A 19732-nucleotide genomic window follows, 5' to 3' on the forward strand; every position below is an offset into this window, starting at 1 on the left:
TCACACACTTCCTGTTCCCTAAATCTCAGCGCACAGTGTGGAAGTGGATCATCCTTCAGGCAAAGCTGCAGAGATGCCTGCACCAAGAGCACCCTACTGCCTCCCATCTGGGCTTTTACATACTTGAGGACAGAAGAGGGCTGCACAGTAGAAAACAAATGGTGGAGGTTAAAGAAGTCTACCCAGAAGGAAAGGCTCATGAATAGAGAATTTATTACAACAGAGGGAAGGAAGAATTCTAGTCATTTTTTTTAAACGTTGAGATAGGATCTTGCTATGTTGCCCAGGCTGGTCTTGAATTCCTGGCCTCAAGCAATCCCCCAACCTGTGCCTCCCGAGTAGCTGGGACCACAGGCACATACCATCACACCCTGGCTAATTTTTTTTTTTTTTTTTTTTTTGAGACAGAGTCTCACTCTGTCGCCCAGGCTGGAGTGCAGTGGCACAATCTCAGCTCACTGCAAGCTCCGCCTCCCAGGTTCACGCCATTCTCCTGCCTCAGCCTCCCAAGTAGCTGGGACTACAGGCACCTGCCACCACGCCCGGCTAATTTTTTTTTTGTTATTTTTAGTAGAGACGGGGTTTCACCGTGTTAGCACCCTGGCTAATTTTTTATTTTTATTTTTTTGTAGAGATGGGGTCTCATTATGTTGCTTAGGCCAGGCTCAAGCGAGCCAGCCTCCTGCCTCAGCCTCCCAAAGTGGTGGGATTACAGGTGTGAGCCACTGCAGCCAACTACACTTCTGTTATTAGTATATTTACATATTTGGTTCAGTTATACTCAGAGGCCCCTAAGGTGATGAACTATGACTTACCCAGAGTATTTAAAACAGTGTCTGGCACATAGTAGGTATTCTATAAATGCTGATGCTTTGAAATAATCTTACTGAGGTGGCCTTTGCAAATTCACATTTGAAGTCAAATATTTACTGAATAATAATTACAGATTGGGTATTGTGCTAGCTACTTTTCCACATAATCTCATTTAATCCACAGTATTAGCCCACTTTATAGATAAGGAAACCAGCTTAGTAGCCTCTCTTTGGCTATATAACTTTTAACTCCTCATTAAAGCTCTTAATAACCAATAACTCCCACATCTCCCTATCCCTCATTGTAGCAACTCTTGCCTTTGCTTTCTCTGGGCTCAGGCACAAAGCATTGCAGGAGGGAAAAAAAGGGGGGGGGGGTCACAAAACCATGTAGGCTTGGCCCACTATAAATTCGTGCAATCTCATGATAACTTGACTTGCTGCCATTCTTCCTGCCTCACAGGTTCAATACCTCCAAATCCTCCTGTTCACTCAACCCTGTTTTCAATCATCATAGCCTATCAAATTGCCCTCTGTTGCTTCCCTCATATCTTTGTGTTCCTTTCCATTCAATGGTCTAAATCCCTAGTATGTAAACTACATCATGAGCATGACTGGTCCTGCTCTGGTCTCTTCTCTCCCCTCTCGTTCCACCTGGAATCCTACCACAAGACCAGTCTTCCTAAAAGAGATTTGGATCATGTCATTTTCCTATCCAAAAGCCTTCAGTTGTTCCCTATGACTACAGGACAAGGATAGCACTGGCACACAAGGCCCTCTATGCTCTGGTCCAAAGCTATATTTTAGTTCCTTCTACTCCCCAGCACAAACTCTCTGCCCTGGCCAAGCCAGCTAATGACCAGTCTCCCACACAGCCCTTTACTCATACTATTCACCTGCACCTGCCTAGCCTACCCATGAATATCTTCCTCTTTCTCTCTGCCTGGTGAAATCCTGCCCATGTTTCAAGGCTTCCATCATGAAGCCTTCCTTGATGCAGCCTACAGGACCTCTCCTGCCTCTCAACACCTAGTGCACTTAATGTCCACACTTTCACTGGACTCTGGGCATATATGGAATCTTTCCATCTCCTATTACATTTTCATAACTTAAAGGCAAGGACTATCTTAGAGTCAGTTACACATAATAAACATAATAAACACAGTGTTTTGACTGACCCAAACTGTCTTAAAGTATTTCCTTTAGAATACCATGAGTGTTAGGCCAGGCGCGGTGGCTCATGCCTGTAATCCCAGCACTTTGGAAGGACAAGGTGGGCAGATCACCTGAGATCAGGAATTCGAGACCAGCCTGGCCAATATGGTGAAACCCCATCTCTACTAAAAATACAAAAATTTGCCAGGTGTGGTGGTGTGTGCCTGTAATCCCAGCTACATGGGAGGCTAAGGCAGGAGAATCACTTGAACTCAGTAGGTGGAGGTTGCAGTGAGCTGATACTGCACTACTGCACTCCAGCCTGGGTGCCAGAGTAAGACTCTGTCTCAAAAAATAATAATAAAATTTAAAAAAAAATTAAAAAAAGAATCTTATGAGTGTTGAATAAAGATTCTTCTCTGAAGCCTTACCACTTTACTAAGCAGTATTCTTTGGGGAGTTCTCACCACTGAACACAGAGTGCTCACACACATCTAGTGTTTTATATTTAAACTTAACACATGCACGTAGAATCAGTCTTCAAAGAATTTCAAATTACAAGTCTGGATCCAGAAAGACCCTGGCCAATCCAGAGTGTGATCACTGGACACCATTATTTAGCAGGGCAGGCCCAAGCTAGAGAAATGTCTGATGATCCGTGACTGCGGGAGACAGAAGCCCTGCCAAAGAACCTGAAAGGAATTTCCAGAGAGAAAAAATTGGGGTTAAACAAAGAGCTAAATTTAGTTGCTTCCTGAATGTGTTTTCCCAATCAATAGACCTAAAACAACACTGTTCCCCATCACAACACACACAGCTGGCAAAGAGTACTGCCAAGAGGAGTATGAGCAATTAGTGAATAATAGCTTATGTACTGTTGGTTGACACCACTTAGCATGAAGTCAATATATAGGGCACCAGCAGCAAGCTGTCAGAATCCTAAATCCCAAGCCATCACCAAATGGGTAATAAATATGTTGTTCTTTTGCTACCATGGGGATTAGTACAAAAGTACTTGGTATTCTAGGACATGAATGCCACAAGGCCAGACTGCGGGAGCTCTCCAAGTTACTTCTGTAAACTGCTGGTCCATTCCTGAGAGACTGCAGTACTAAAGAAAAGACTACAGAGATGTCCCTCAACTTACAATGAGTGTTATCCCAATAAACCCATCATAAATTGAAAATATCTAAGTTGAAAATGCATTTAATACACCTAACCTACCAAACAAACATCATAGTTCAGCCTAGCCTACCTTAAACCTGCTCAGAACACTTACACTAGCCTACAGTTGGGCAAAATCATCTGGCAAAACAGTACACTGTAGAATACTGGTTGTTTACTCTCATGACTGCACGGCTGACTGCTTTGACTCCTGCTGCTGCCCAGCATTAGAGAATATCATACCTGCATATCGCTAGCTCAGGAAAAGATCTAAATTAATAATTTCAACTACAGTTTCTACTGACTATTGCTTTCACATCATCCTAGAATCAAAAAATGATAAGTCTAACCATTGTAAGTTGGAGGATCATCTGTAGTCTATTTGCCATTAAACTGCCCTTCTCTTCTTATATTTTTCCTTTTTTTTTTTTTTGAGACAGAGTCTCGCTCTGTCACCCAGGCTGGAGTGCAGTGCTGCGATCTCCGCTCACTGCAAGCTCCGCCTCCCAGGTTCACGCCATTCTCCCGCCTCAGCCTCCCAAGTAGCTGGGACTACAGGCGCCCACCACCATGCCCGGCTCATTTTTTTGTATTTTTAGTAGAGACGGGGTTTCACCGTGTTAGCCAGGATGGTCTCCATCTCCTGACCTCGTGATCCACACGCCTCAGCCCCCCAAAGTGCTGGGATTACAGGCATGAGCCACTGCGCCTGGCCTTTTCCTCATTTTTATTCACATTTAGAAGAGAAAAGGAGATGTGATGGGTAAGGTTTTTGTGTTTTTTTTTTGAGACAGGGTCTGACTCTGTCACCCAGGCTGGAGTACAGTGGCATGACTTTGGCTCATTGCAGCCGCAACCTCATGGGCTCAGACGCTCCTACTTCAGCCTCCTGAGTAGCTGGGACTACAGGCACATGCCACCGTGCCCAGCTAATGTTTTCTATTGTTTGTAGAGACAGGGTCTCACTTTGTTGCCCAGGCTGGTCTTGAACTCCTGAGTTCAAGCAATCCTCCCACCTTGGCCTCCCGAAGTGCTGGGATTACAGGCATGAGTCACTGCACCTGGCCAATGGAAAACCCTTTACCAGCTGGGCGTGGTGGCTGACGCCTGTAATCCCAGCACTTTGGGAGGCCAAGGCAGGCAGATCACTTGAGGCCAGGAGTTTGAGACCAGCCTGGCCAACACGGTGAAACCTCGTCTCTACTAAACATACAAAAATTAGCCAGGCATGGTGGCAGGTGCCTGTAATCCCAGCTACTCAGGAGGCTGAGGCAGGAGAATCGCTTGAACCTGGGAGGTAGAGGTTGCGGTGCGCTGAGAGCTGAGATCACGCCACTGCACTGCAGCCTGGATGACAAAACAAGACTCTGTCTCCAAAAAAAAAAAAAAAACCTTTACCTCTCTGGGCCTCATGTCCTCATCTGTAAAATGAAAAAATCATACTAGGTGATCAACTAACCTAACACTAACATTTTATGCTTTTAGACTGTTTCCCTATATATTCTAGTTTGCCTTTTTTGATCCAAACATTTGGATAGCAGATCCAATGGAGAAAGTGTCCCCAGCTCTGCACTGACTGCCCCTCAGTGAAAACCTGCTTGAGGATTGTGCCTTGGAACTCGAACACAGAGAAAACCCCCCTGTAGAAGAAGTTGCTCAGTAAGATAACTGCCTGCTTGCTCTATTTCCAGCACAGACGCTGCTTGGCAAAAGGGCTTCCTTTCCACTCCTTGTCACTGTTAAGAACAAAGAGAAAAACCAGATGGCATGAAGCTGCTGGGCTTCTTTCCCCCTCATTGTCATGAACCAGTGGAGTGCAACTGGTCACTACATACCACAAGACGCCACACCCAAGTTTCTGGCTAAGGACCAGCACATGTGGTTTGTGGTATGTTTATTGATAGGAAAATAATTTTATATGACAGAACTTTTCACTTCAGTCATTAAAAACAAAAGAAGTGTGAAGATCAAGTTGGGGAGCCAGAGTGTGTAGCAGAAAAAAATTTCTACCTCTGCTTTTGTCCATGTTAGTAAATATTTTCTCATGCTCTGTTAGTTCTGAGAATTCTCCCTGATTCTCACTGTTATTCTCACTCTTAGCCACTTGACTCCAGGGCAGATCATAATCTTCCCAAGTTAAAAAAATCCTGCAGTGTAGGGCTGGGCGCGGTGGCTCACACCTGTAATCCCAGCGCTTTGGGAGGCCAAAGCAGGTGGATCACGAGGTCAGGAGTTCAAGACCAGCCTGGCCAACATAGTGAAACCCCATCTCTACTAAAAATACAAAAAAATTAGCCAGGCATGGTGGTGTGTACCTGTAGTCCCAGCTACTCAGGAGGCTGAGGCAGGAGAATCGCTTGAACCCAGGAGGTGGAGGTTGGCAGTGAGCAGAGATTGCGCCATTGCACTCCAGCTTGGGCAACAGAGTGAGACTTCGTCTCAAAAAAAAAAAAAAAAAATCCTGCAGTGTAAATAGTTCCAGGGAAATCACACGCTGCATAAACCAACAGCCTCAGCAGCAGCACTTGGACTACAGATATAGAGAGCTAGCAGCAGGAGCAGCTTCTTTTACAAAGAGGGCAGTAAAAAAGGAAGCAGTCAGAGGTAGATAGTTGGCTGATCTGGAGGAGTACCAGACTTAACAGATGATAACTGCCTTTGAAAGGCTTAAAACCTAGCAATTTAAATTAAACCCGATTCTGAGCTAGGCTGTTTGCCTTTACACAGGTGTTAAAAATCGAAGGACTTCGGCAAGTTACAGTGTCACTGTCACTGCCACTTAAGGAAACCACCTTAATAAACAGGCATGCCTACCAGAATCTGCCAGCAAAAGACTGACACAGTTCAGCAGCTTGTTTTTTTTTTAGCAGTCTTTCTTAGCCTGACAGTTGGCCTATTTTTTTTTTTCACATGGAAAGCACATGCAAGCTACTATACTCAGCGAAACCAAATACAACAGAGTCCTACTATTATCTATAAAAAAAAAGCCATGTCTGGCTTTCCTCCAAATGCAATTAGCTGCGTCCACAGTTCTCCTTATAGCAGCTACCAGCATTCAAGATTTATATTCCTTATATTCCAAACTTCAAACCAAAATAAAAATATTATACTCAATTCCTTCTCTACTTACTAAAATGATTATGACTTCCCCTTTAGCTCTTAGGATCATTCAATAACAATGGTTTTCAAACCATATTCCAAGAGGCCCAGTTAGTAATGTGGTTTGAGGGGAAGGGATGGGACACGGATGTGATGAATTACCTCTCTCACACTGCTTTAATCTGTTTTATATGCCATAGGTTTGAAGAAAAGGTTCTAATGCTAAAAAAAGAAACAATAATCACTGAGGTAATAGAACTAGATTATCATCTACAATGACCTACATAAGGCACTACACTGTTACATGAAATTAGCCAACTTTCAATGTCCTGGGCTAACAGGAGATAAGAACAGCATAGTAAAGAAATGTAATTTATTAAAACTCTATTTTTAGCCAATGATTCCAATCATCCATCTTCAACTGTTTTTTTGCAACAACAAATAATTAGTAAAACAGAGTTGAAGTCTGGTGAAATGTATGGGCAGTAATAGAGAAGCCAAAGTGAAAATAGATCTGAATATTTGAATCTACATAGCAGGCCCTTTGCCTTTAGTTGTTACTCACAGCATACTAAATAAGTGGCAGGCCATATCCTACCAGATACAGGATATACACAGACATCTACAGAAATTACCCCTCCACCATGGCAGAATGCTGTTATTGGCTGCAATCCCCAAGAGACAATAATACCGGGCCAGCCACCAAGCCACTTAAATTAATTCCTAGTGTGAGATTCTGACTCAGAAGCCAGGTCTTTCTGTTTCAAGCATAATAGAAAGGCAACAGCAACCAGCAGGATGTGGGACCTGATGCAACTCACCCGTGCAGAACTCCTTGCTCACGTTGTGGGGCACTATGATCCGTCGATAGACAATGGGCTCGGACTCCAAGATGTTCTCATCATGGCGGTACCGAGTGGGCCTTTCATTTGGGATGCCCCGGGAACGGGTACCACTTCTCCTTTCATAGGTATCAATCTCCTCAAACACAGCTGCCTTGTCAAAAAGAGCCAGGTTCCCTTCAAAATCAAAATCTGTGTCTGGGATCTCCTCAATATCATCCCCGAAGCACTCGTCATCTTTATTCTTCATCTGGCCATTCTTTAAACCACTTTTCTTGGGAGTTGCCTGATTTGGGTGCCTGCTACTAGATGACCCTGGAGAAAAAATAGGGACTAAAGTCAGTGTATCCACAGAAAGCGCTCAGTGAACGTGGAAAATACATTAGTCTTTTGTGGAGAGTGTTACAGGAACCAATGTGAAAATGGTAAAGGTAACTATTGCAAACTCATATTAAGTAGCACAAACAACAAATCTCATGTGCAATAATAGGTTTCAAACATCACCCAATCTGGGCACAGTGGCTCACGCCTATAATCCCACATTGGGAGGCTGAGGCAGGAGGATCGCTTGTGCCTAGGAGTTCAAGGCTGCAGTGAGTGATGATCACGACACTGCACCCCAGCCTGGGCAAAGAGCAAGAATCTGTCTCAAAACACACACACACACACACACACACACACACACACAAACAACAACAAATATTACCCAAGTAACTTGTTAATGAATATGAAATAAGCAGTACTCCTGGAAATCTTAACCAGTTATCCCCTTCATAAGGAAACTGGTAATGACAAAAGTTTTTCTGACAACTTACTATTAGCAAACAAGAGGAAGAGTAAGAATATAGCATGGTGGTTTTGACATAATGACAGAGGCAGGAGGCAGAGAAATTCTAGAGGCGGGTCCCTGGCGAAGCCCCACCTTTGAAGCTGAAAAGGCTGAGACTGTGGCCCAAAGTGAGAACTTATATCCCTGTTTTCCCACTAGAATGTTGTCTTTTCTTAAACCACCCATGGCTCTGCCCCCACCCTATCCTGTGCCTATAAAGACCCCAGACTCAGTCAGCAGAGATGAGAAACAGCTGGATGTTGGAGACTATGGCTGGATGTCAGAGAGAAGTGGCTTGACTTCAGAGGGATAGCTTGACTGTGTAACTATGGAGAAGAATTTGGCTGGAGACAGCCAGACTTAAGGGGAAAATTACCTACCCACCACTGACTGTCCCCTTTTCAGCTCCCCTTCCCACATAAATAAAAATAAAATCACCCACATTTACCATCCTTTAATTCATTCATGTGACCTCATTTTTCCTGGACACTGGACAAAAGCTCAGAAGCCATGAGTGCAGATACAAAAGACTGTCACACTGATCCTTTGCCCTCACTGGCAGAGGGCAGCTGCAGGCCCACTGAGCTGTTAACACTTAAGCCATCTGTGGATGGCAGAGCTAAAAGAGCACCATAACACATCCTCTGGGGCTTCAGGAGTTGTAGACACCCCACCTAGATGCTGCCATATGGCCTGCACAGAGTTCGCTCCTGCTGGTGCCCAGAAGCGCTCATTCTGGCTCCTGCACCGGCTCACATGTGCACTCCCTCCCACAATGGGTAGAACACAGTGGGTCTGAGTGAGTGGAGTTTGATCCCACTGGCACTGAAACAGACAGCCAGGTTCCAGTGCTTGTGCACTCCAGTTCCTGCCTTGTTCTCTCGCACACTCCCTTCTGCAAGGAGTTGAGAGCAGTGCGTGGAGTAAACGGGGCACCCCTGTCATGAGTCCTGTGAATAGGTCAGGGAAGGGAAATATCCTGCTTCAGTTTGAGTCTGAGTGTCTGGCAGTTGTTTAAGAGAGAAATACCCCCAGAGTAAAAGAAGGCCTGGTCTTATAGCCTGAAGCTTGTAGGAAAATACTATTCAGCTAGTCCTTAAATCTATGCTTACCCAGCAAGCAATCTTCTGATTTTTAATTTGGTCTTAGGCTAGATCCCAGCAGCAGGGAATCCCTGGTTTGCTCAAAAAATTCTACATTCTGAGCCAGGTATACACCTACCACTACAAATTGCTATTCTGACTTACAAACCTTTCTTTAGACCTTTCGGTTAACGTGATCTCTTTTCTCAGAATTTTATCTCTTGTGGGTAAGCAGTTTCTGAAACACCAAATAATGACAGGGTCCATACTGAACTGATCCTGTAGAGGCCACACTAATGCACATCCACAACAGAGTAGCCAGCCACACCCTGTCTCTGACACCTTATTTGGCTACTACACATCAGTCAACAACTACTCTAGCAGCCAAGGCAGAAGGTCTCACAGAATTCTCCAAACCACCCACCCCCAGAGAATCAAGCTCTGGTCTCCATCTGACTACCCTGAAAACGTGAATCAGGTGACTGGTATGCCAGACTGAACCTCTATCACAGTCTAAATAAATGGAATGTACTTCCTTCTGAAAGACTGGGCTCTTCAATTACTGAAAACACTCAAGTCACGGTTAGAATGATCCCAAGCAAAGCCCCTCACATATACTAAACCAACTATGCTGCCCTAACTCTTCTCATTGCAACCTCCTTCAACCCAAAGGACCAAGAGTTTGGAGAGCTAGGATCTAGTTCTCTCACCAAAATATTATATAATCTTATACCATCATCTAACTTCTCAGGGTCTTAACTTCCTGTATATAGAATGCTCACTGTGGTTATCTCCAGTAGAGTTTCTAGCATTAACAAATTAATATCAGCAAGATCAATTACAATAATTATTCTGAAAGGTATACACTATGCAAATACAATTTATGCCCAAGTATTCCTAATGCCTTGTACTGGTGTGGAAAAAGTGGTGATGGCAGTGAAGATGCAATTTACGTCTCTGAAAAAAAAAAAAAAAAAAAAAAAAAAAAAACCAAGGCCAGGCGCGGGGGCTCATGCCTGTAATCCCAGCACTTTGGGAGGCCGAGGCAGGCAGATCATGAGGTCAGGAGATCGAGACCATCCTGGCTAACACGGTGAAACCTTGTCTCTACTAAAAATACAAAAAATTAGCCAGGCATGGTGGCATGCGCCTGTAGTCCCAGCTACTCAGGAGGCTGAGGCAGGAGAATTGCTTGAACCCAGGAGGCGGAGGTTGCAGTGAGCTGAGATGCACCACTGCACTCCAGCCTGGGTGACAGAGTGAGACTCTGTCCCTAAAAAACAAAACAAAAACAAAACACTAAGGCTGACCAAAATTATGAAGGTAAGGCAGAGTGGTTGAGACACCACAGCCAGCTAGATGATGAACCACTATGAAGCTAGCCACAGTTTGGGTTAAGTTCTAGTTCCAATAATTTGATGAAGCACTCTGTGAGAGCACACTTATGCCATAGCTAGGTGCTAGGATGATAAAATACAACCAAGACATGCTGCTCAACAAGGAGAGAGAAGAAATATGTTGGGCACAGTGGCTCAGGCCTGTAATCCCAGCACTTTGGGAGGCCGAGGTGGGTGTATCACCTGAGGTCAGGAGTTCAAGACCAGCCTGATCAACATGGTGAAATGCCATCTCTACTAAATACAAAAAATTAGCCAGGTGTGGTGGCGCATGCCTGTAATCCCAGCTACACGGGAGGCTGGGGAAAGAATTGCTTGAACCCAGGAAACGGAGGTTACAGTGAGCCAAGATTGTGCCATTCCACTCCAGCCTGGGCAACAAGAGCAAAACTTCGACTCAAAAAAATAAATAAATAAAAAATAGAAATATATATATATATATATATATATAGGCAAATAATGAAAATATGATGTGATTAGAGTTAGAAAGAAGTTTATATAAAGTGCCATAGAAATATGGATGAGATGGGCTGGGTACAGTGGCTCATGCCCAAATCTCAGCACTTTGGGAGGCCAAGGTGGGCAGATCACTTGAGCCCAGGAGTTTGAGACCAGCTTGGGCAACATAGTGGGACCCCTGTCTTTATAAAAAAATAAAAAACCACATGAGAACACATCCTGGCTAAAAAATAAAATAAAAGAGGGCTGGGAGCGGTGGCTCATGCCTGTAATCCCAGCACTTTGGGAGGCTGAGGTGGGCGGATCATGAGGTCAGGAGATCGAGACCATCCTGGCCAACATGGTGAAACCCCGTCTCTACTAAAAATACAAAAATTAGCTGGGCATGGTGGCGCGCACATGTAGTCCCAGCTACTTGGAAAGCTGAAGCAGGAGAATCGCTTGAACCCAGGAGGCAGAGATTGCAGTGAGCCGAGATCACGCCACTGCACTCCAGCCTGGTGACAGAGCGAGACTCTGTCTCAAAAGAAAAAAAAATAAAATAAAATAAAGAGAAAGAAATATGGATGAGACTACTCAGGAGGCTGAGATGGGAGGATCACTTGAGCCCAGGAGGTCATGGCTGCAGTGAGCCACAGTCCACACCACTTGCACTCCGGCCTGAGCAATATATATATGTATATGACCAGCCTGACCAACATGGCAAAACCCCGTCTCTACTAAAAATACAAAAACTAGCCAGGCATGGTGGTGTGCACCTGTAATCCCAGCTACTTGGGAGGCTGAGGTAGGAGAATCGCTGGAACCCAGGAGGTGGAGGTTGCAGTGAGCTGAGATCAAGATTGCGCCACTGCACTCCAGCCTTGGGGACAGAGTGAGACTCCGTCTCCAAAAATATATATATATATATATATGTGTGTGTGTGTGTGTGTATATGAAAATATATGCATATATAATGATATTTATATATATGAAAATATATACATATATTTTACATATGTGGGTGAAAAAGCAGAGCTGGATCAGGAAGACAGAATGGGTATGAAAATACAAGGTCAGGATAACACCATTAGCAATATACACAGACAAGGGAAGAACAAAAGAATAAGGATTATCAACGTACTGCCTCAATATTAAATCAAAACATCCTATTAGAAATAGGTCTCTTGCCCAGTGGTCACTCTTCAGTGGGTATGTGTTTCCCCAGGGGTGGACAGAACGATTCACCAGGATGTAGGAAGAAGATACGGAATATTCTATTTATTTTTATTTTAACTAAAAACAGTAGAAATTAAACTTTATGAATTTTAATGTATTGATGAAAACCAGGACCCTTATGAAGTTCCATGCCAGCCAATTGCTGCCCATATTTGAGATATCTGAGGAAAATGTGACATTCCATAACAAGAAGTCTATCCATGCAAGTGGTTATACATCAATTTTTTAAAATTGCAGTAAAATATACATTACATAAAATTTACCATTTTAACCATTTTTAAGTGTACAGTTCAGTGGCATTAAGTGCATTCACACTATACAACCATGCCAATTTTTAACTAAAGCATACGAAAATGAGTATGTGGCTTAAAAAGATACTTGTAAAGAAACTATATGTTAAATAACGATAATACTAATGTAATCATAAGTAAACAAGAAAATGGCAGAACACTTTCCCTATTCCTCTTACAGGCCTTCTTTAGCTAGAATGAGGTTGTCAAAAATTAATTAAATCTATGAAGATGGTCTCCCAAATTATAAAGTATCAAGAAGGTCATTCCAAACATGAATCCACATTAACTATTATGAATTAACTTCACCCTAAGTATATACTCTACATCAAAACTCTGCAAACTATAGCTCATGGGCCAAATCCAACCCACTGCCTGTTTCTGTAAATAAAGTTTTATTGGCGCACAGTCATGGTCTAGGCAAAGTGAAAAGAACACAGAGGATAATGTCTAGAAAATGTACACACGGCCAGGGGTGGTGACTCACACCTGTAATCCCAATACTTTGGGAGGCCGAGGTGGGCAGATTACCTGAGGTCAGAAGTTCGAGACCAGCACTGGGCGTGGTGGAATACACCTGTAATCCCAGCTACTCAGGAGGCTGAGGCACGAGAATCGCTTGAACCCGGGAGGTGGAGCTTGCAGTGAGCCAAGATCGCGCCACTGCACTCCAGCCTGGGCGACAGGGCGAGACTCTGTCTCAAAAAAAAAAAAAGAAAAAGAAAAAGAAAAAGAAAAAATGTACACACAATGCAAAAATGAAAAACAATTCAGTACAGCACAATGGTCAAATAAATAATTCAAAGGTAATAGGAAAGGAGTATTCCTTTTTAAAAATAATGTTTGTTAACAGATGTTCATACCAAATATGCAGAAAATTCTAAATATTCACATAATATTTTGATTTTCTTTTAGTAAAAAATTTGCATCCATCTTATAAAGTTTTGTATCCTGCTTTCTCGCTTAGGAGCATCCTCGAGTTTCATGAAAAAATTCTTCAAATACTGTATCTTACTTTTTATGGCCACATAAATCATAGATCATACCATATTGATATACAGCACATGGATCATACCTACTGATTAACTTTTAAGTTATTTCTCATTTTTGCTATTACAGACTCGGCCCAAACACACTATCTTTGACTACCCTTGCTAAAAAAATCACTCCCATCTGACCACTTACAACAGTGTGCGTTACCACTGACCTAGCACTTATGCTACATTACCTACTTTGTTCTGTAGTTAATCTGTGTTCTTGCTCTAACTTCCCAAGGAGTTTATAAGCCAACAGAGGGCAGGAATGATGTCATTCATACCTGTCACCCAACACTATGCCCAGTTCAGCGTAAGTACACAAAACTCTGCTGAATTAAGAAATAAAAACAGCAATATATATATATATATATTTTTTTTTTAAAAAGCAAACACTAGCCAATCAAAAGTTAGAAGTCTAAAAAGAGGTTATAAAAAAAGGGCAACTTGAGATTAACTACAAGAAAAAGCAATAAAAATCATGCCAACTTTGTTACATGACTGAAAAGGCCAGGAAGATAAAGTTGTTGACAATAATATAATATAAAAGAGTTACGAAGCAAGGGCTTCAGTGGAAAAACTTCAGTCATGTCCAATATGAACTGAAAATGAACTATCCTGGAACTATTACAATGACTGATGAAAATAAGCAGTTGATCAGTGAAGGAGAAGACAGGGTTAAGGAAGCAAAATGGGAAATCACTCCCATTCAGATAAAACCCAAAGCTCCTGAAACCAGGTGACCAAGAATAAAGCTCAGAGGAAACAGGATACAGACACTGCTAAAGAGGAACAGGTAGAGGCACAAAAACAGTTATAGGAGAAAACAGGAAAGAATCTAGAATCCAAAGACCCAAATACTCTGAAGGCAGGTCAGACTTGCCAAATGACACTGGTAGAAGGCCAGTTATCCTGGAACTAAAGTTTGAAAAGCATGAGCTGGCCTGGCGCAGTGGCTCAACACCTGTAATCCCAGCACTGTGGGAGGCCAAGGCGGGTGGATCACCTGAGCTCAGGAGTTCGAGACCAACCTGGCCAACATGGTGAAACCCTGTCTCTGCTAAAAATACAAAAATTAGCCAGGTGTGGTGGCAGGCACCTGTAATCCCAGCTACTCCAGAGGCTGAGGCAGGAGAATTCGCTTGAAGCCAGGAGGTGGAGGTTGCAGTGAGCCGAGATGGCGCCACTGCACTCCAGCCTGGGTGACAGAGCAAGACTCCGTCTCAAAAAATAAATAAATAAATAAAAAATAAAATGTAAAGAAAAAGAAAAAGAAAAGCATAAGTTGCTTCTCTAACCACTAGCCCAGTATTTGTTAGCCCTAAGCAGTGCGCTAACCACTGAACACCAATATGAATGTTCAAAAGCACAAGCTGAGCATCCCTAATCCAAACATCCAAAATCCAAAAATTTCTGAGCGCCAACGTGATGTTCAAAGAAAATGCTGATTGGAGCATTTTGGATTTCTGGATTAGGGATGCTCAACTGGTATGTATTCCAGAAATACTCCAAAATCCTTTTTAAAAAATCCAAAATCTGAAACACTTCTGGTCCCAAGCGTTTTGCGTTAAGAGATACGCAACTTTTATTTGGGAGGAGAGAGTGCAGCATAGAAAGAAAACTTTTGTTCAGTTTCAAAAAAAAAAAAAAAAAAGCTAATAAATAGTACCCACTTCATATCATGCCACATGATGAGGAGCTATTGAAATGCAAAGTAGAAAAGTAAAGAAAACAAACATGACTAGCTGTAAAGTTCGTTCACAGCATGTTGACAAAGTGCCCCACTATAAAGACTAACAGGGTCCACAGTGGGAGACGCCTTAATTCTGCCTTAATGATGCTGGGCACTGGTCATCATTTTCTGGCTCAACTGTAGGACTCTACAAACATAACTTACAACAAAACCCAGAGATGTTGTATGAAGAAGGTTTCAGGTGTTTTCCTGTACTCCTCTAAATGCAGAGTTGATTCATTCATTTGAGACATAGACACTAAGGACTAGCTATGTTCTAAACACTGTCAGGAAAGCAGAGTGTGAAAAATATTTCCCAAGAGGAAATACTGACATCACAGGTCAGTAAGAGAAAGATAAGAGAACATAAAATAAATGCAAGGCAGGCTAATGTGCTCAGTTGTCTCTTATTCTTCCCTTTCCTCATACTTTAATACAAATATTAGGAAGTCCTGAGTGAACAAGCTGTCTCAGTACTTGGCTTACTCATCCCAAAGGGCCTGGCTCTGCATTAAACTGGCCTTTGGCCACTGCGAGAGAAAAGCACTTCCCTTGGAAAAGACAAACAGTCTTCCCAGATTTCTTTACCTTTCAATTACAAGGGCCATGCAAGTACTGCAGGCTGGCTGCCTTCCTGTGCCGTTTTTCTGCCACCCTTTGGCACAGAGGCCCTTTGGCCAGGACAACTTGTAACAAACCCATTGTTGTGTAACCCTCAGTGCCACTTATTTATTGGTTTTTGTCACACACACACTGTAAGTGGGAACTTTGTCCTGCACTTATCACACTAAAGGGTACCTGAATGTTAAACTACAAATGTTTTACTGCCAGATTAAACAGGCATCATGAGAAGGTGCCTGAGAATATATGGGACCTTCTTCTCAACTCTCAAATTCTAGGCCCTGGGTTTTCAAGCCTATTAGATATATGAAGCACATCCAAGGAAGTTTAAAAGTCAAGAAAACCTCAGTAGAACCATGAAAACCTGGCAAAATTCACTTCCTGCCTCAGGTGGTGGGATGACTGTTAAAATGAACAGACCGTTAAAGCCCAACCATACTGCAACAAGATAATATCGACCATCTTTCCATTTAAAAGGTTCAATTCCATCCCTCATTTCTCTCCACCTCCAGTAACAAAGAGAAAAAGGGAAATCAGCACTAAACAGAGGCACTGTCATGCCTATAGGACCACCTCTCTCTAAATATAAATGAGTTAAAGGCCAGCTATCTACTTTGTTTGTTTTGAGATGCAGTTTCACTCTTGTTGCCCAAGCTGGAGTGCAATGGCACGATCTCGGCTCACTGCAGCCTCCACCTCCCGGGTTCAAGCAATTCTCCCTGCCTCAGCCTCCCAAGTAGTTGGGATTACAGGCATGCACCACCAGGCCCAGCTAATTTTTTGTATTTTTAGTAGAGACAGGGTTTCGTCATGTTGGCCAGTCTGGTCTCGAACTCCTGGCCTCAGGTGATCTGCCCACCTCAGTCTCCCAAAGTGCTGGGATTAGAGACATCAGCCATCATGCCCAGCCTCAGCTATCTACTTTCATGTTCTACAGGCAAAAGAGCCTTAACTTAACTGTTAAATTTTTATTCAACTGCATGTTACAATGACTATTCAAGCTCATAGACTAAGATTTCAGAGAGGGATGCCTTTCATCTGCCCCTCATGGTCACCATTTTCAGCTGTGACATGGGATTTGATAAATATGAATTATACCCATACACAGAGCTGCACCCTAAACAAGGCTTGGTTTCCCTCTGCTCCCTGGGACTGATGTTATGTCTATTTGACAAACATTCTGAATGGTCACAGAAAAACTATTCTTTACATGATTCTTTAAACCCACTCCCACCCGAAAAGAGATTAAAATCTGCTTGTGCTAAATCATCAGTGTTGGATTAGCTAACTATTATAAACCAACAAATTCCTCAACTCCTTATTGCAATCCTGAAAGAACACTTAAAAGCCAGAACTGAAGACAGATTATATTTCTTTCTTTCCTTTTTTTTTTTTTTTTTGAGACAGAGTTTTGCTTTGTTGCCCAGGCTGGAGGGCAGTGGCACAATCTCAGCTCACTGCAACCTCCGACTCCCAGGTTCAGGCAATTCTTGTGCCTCAGTCTCCTGAGTAGCTGGCATTACAGGCACCCACCACCACACCCAGCTGATTTTTTGTATTTGTGTACAGACGGGGTTTCACCATGTTGCCTAGGCTGGTCTCAAACTCCTGAGCTCAGGCAACCTGCCCGTCCCAGCCTCCGAAAGTGTTAAGATTACAGGCATAAGCCACCACACCCGGCCGACAGATTATATTTCTATAGCTTCATCAATCTACTAGTCTCAATATCAATGTACATAAACTGGAGAAAATTCTAAGGCAGACCTTTTTACTTACAGGGCTCAATGAGTGGAAAAATAATTATAACTCTACCTTCTATCAGAAACCTATTCTGAGCCACGTCTTATTGCCATTCCCAGGCCACAAACATTTTCCAAACTAATCTGGATTCTACATAAGTTTCTTGAAAAATAGTAACATTTTACTGCCCTATGATCTCTTTACCTCATTTATGTACAGTTAACAATCTAGAAAAAGGAAACTGACAAAACAGCAAAAGCAGAATAACCAAAACCTGGAAGCCACCAAGATGTCCTGCAATAGGTGAATGGGTAAACAAATTGATATATCCACACAATGGAACATTATCCGTCAATTAAAGAAATGACCTATCAAGTCACAAAACGACATGAATGAATCTTAAATGCATCTTGCTAAGTGAAAGAAGCCAGTCTGAAAAGGGCTACATACTGTATGATTTTAATTATGTGATATTCTGGAAAAATGCAAAACTGCAGGGATGGTATAATAAAAAGATCAGTAGTTGCCAGGGGGAAGTGGGGGAAGTTGAACAGGTAAGGCACAAGAGATTGTTTAGGACAATGAAACTATTCTGTTTAATACTGTAATGACAGATACATGATGCTATGTATTTGTCAAAACCCACAGAATTTTACAGCACAAAGAGTGAGCCTTAGTGTTTGCAAATTTTTAAAAATCATTTAGGAGGTTAGAAGATCCCAGGATGGAATGCAGAATGTGATAAAACAAATTAATTGTATTATGAATATATGAAACAAGTCAATGAAGGAAATGGGAGACCTAAATAACTCTAGAAATGAATGGAGTCAGATGAAAGGCAAAAGAAACAGTACGTAAGCACCACATTCTGTTTGATAGTCTCCCACAGGAATGGCGATACAAGTTAATAATTCTGATACCACTATACATGTATACTGGAATTGAATAATTATGTAAAGAATGAATGACAATAGGAGACAGGTTTCTCACTGTTGGAGTGAGAAGTAACAGACAAGCAAAAGGAGAAGGCTAGAAGGATCCATGTGGTAATGGATTAAAGTTGGAGACATCAGTATGAACTCATACTTAGTATAGTACAATATACATAGTTACATATAGAAATATTTAAATATGTATATATATGCTGGTTAAATATACACACATATATTTTCTTTTCTGTGAACTCTGCAGAGAAGTATACACATTTTCTTGCTGTCAGCTATAAGGGTGACACCCAGGAGCAATGAGCATCCCTAGTGAAGAAGAAAGAAAGGAGAAGGGGGGAGGAGGGAGGGGGAGAGGGAGGGGGTGGAGGGAGGAGGAGGGAGGAGGAGGAGGAGGAGAAGCAGCAGCAGCAGCAGTAGTAGTAGTAGTAGTGGTAGTAGTAAGCATCTTTCAGTGTGAGAAAGTACCTAAGTACTAAAAAAAAAAAAAAATAAAATCCACAATGATTGGAGTATGTCAAAGGGACATGAGATCCAAGTGAAAGATTGGAGACTAGCCAAAACTGAAATAATTTGAGTACCAAAATAAAGTAATATTGAATTATAAGCCAAAGTATAAAATAAATACCCATGAGTACATGCTGATATAAATAAATGACTGAATAAATAAACAAATGGGGGAGAAGAGAGGAATCTCTGGCATAAAAGAATTCCAAGTAATGTCTGAAGATGCTGTGTCCTCAAGGAGAGGGGACATAACTTCTCACTCCCTGGGTGTGGGCTGCACATAGTGATTTCCTTCCAAAGAGTACATATGTAAAGGGGAAGAAAGAGTCACTTTACAGAGGAGAAACTAGATATATCCTACTTTAGCCAGGTGATCAAGGTGAACATCAAAAGTTATAAACCATGGTGATAATATATACACTTGACACAAGGTGATGAAAATGGTACTTTACCTCTGTTGTCTTCCACCCCCAAACATATAACCCCAGTCTAATCATGATTTAAACATCAAGTACCAACTGAGAGACATTCTACAAAATACCTGACCAGTATTCATCAAAATGTCTAGGTCATCAAAAACAAGGAAGGTCTGAGAAACTGTAAGAGCCAAGCAGAGAAATGACTACCAAATATGATGTGATATGCTGGACAGGATCCTGAAACAAGGGCATCCGGGTAAAAACTAAGGCAATCTGAATAAAATATGGACTTTGTTTAATGATAATGCATCAACATTGGTTCAATAATTATAACAAGTATACCATACAAATGTAAGACGTTAATAACGGGGAAAAATGTGTAGAAAAA

The 19732-nt window shown here is 42.3% G+C and overlaps 1 protein-coding gene across 9 annotated transcripts in view; it reads right to left on the bottom strand.

The window, feature by feature from the left end:
* Positions 1-19732, bottom strand: part of EDC3 (enhancer of mRNA decapping 3) — a 65467-nt gene that overhangs the window by 18124 nt on the left and 27611 nt on the right. For 8 of the 9 annotated variants that reach the window (NM_001351379.2, NM_025083.5, XM_024450077.2 and 5 more), the window contains one exon: positions 7052-7387. In NM_001351379.2, coding sequence (NP_001338308.1) covers positions 7052-7387 — 336 coding nt within the window. Of the gene's footprint in view, positions 1-7051; positions 7388-15701; positions 16028-19732 lie in introns of those variants that run through there. The other variant, XM_011522092.4, reaches the window with a different exon arrangement.

The sequence above is a fragment of the Homo sapiens genome, chromosome 15 (assembly GCF_000001405.40).
Source record: "Homo sapiens chromosome 15, GRCh38.p14 Primary Assembly".
Lineage (NCBI taxonomy): Eukaryota > Metazoa > Chordata > Mammalia > Primates > Hominidae > Homo > Homo sapiens.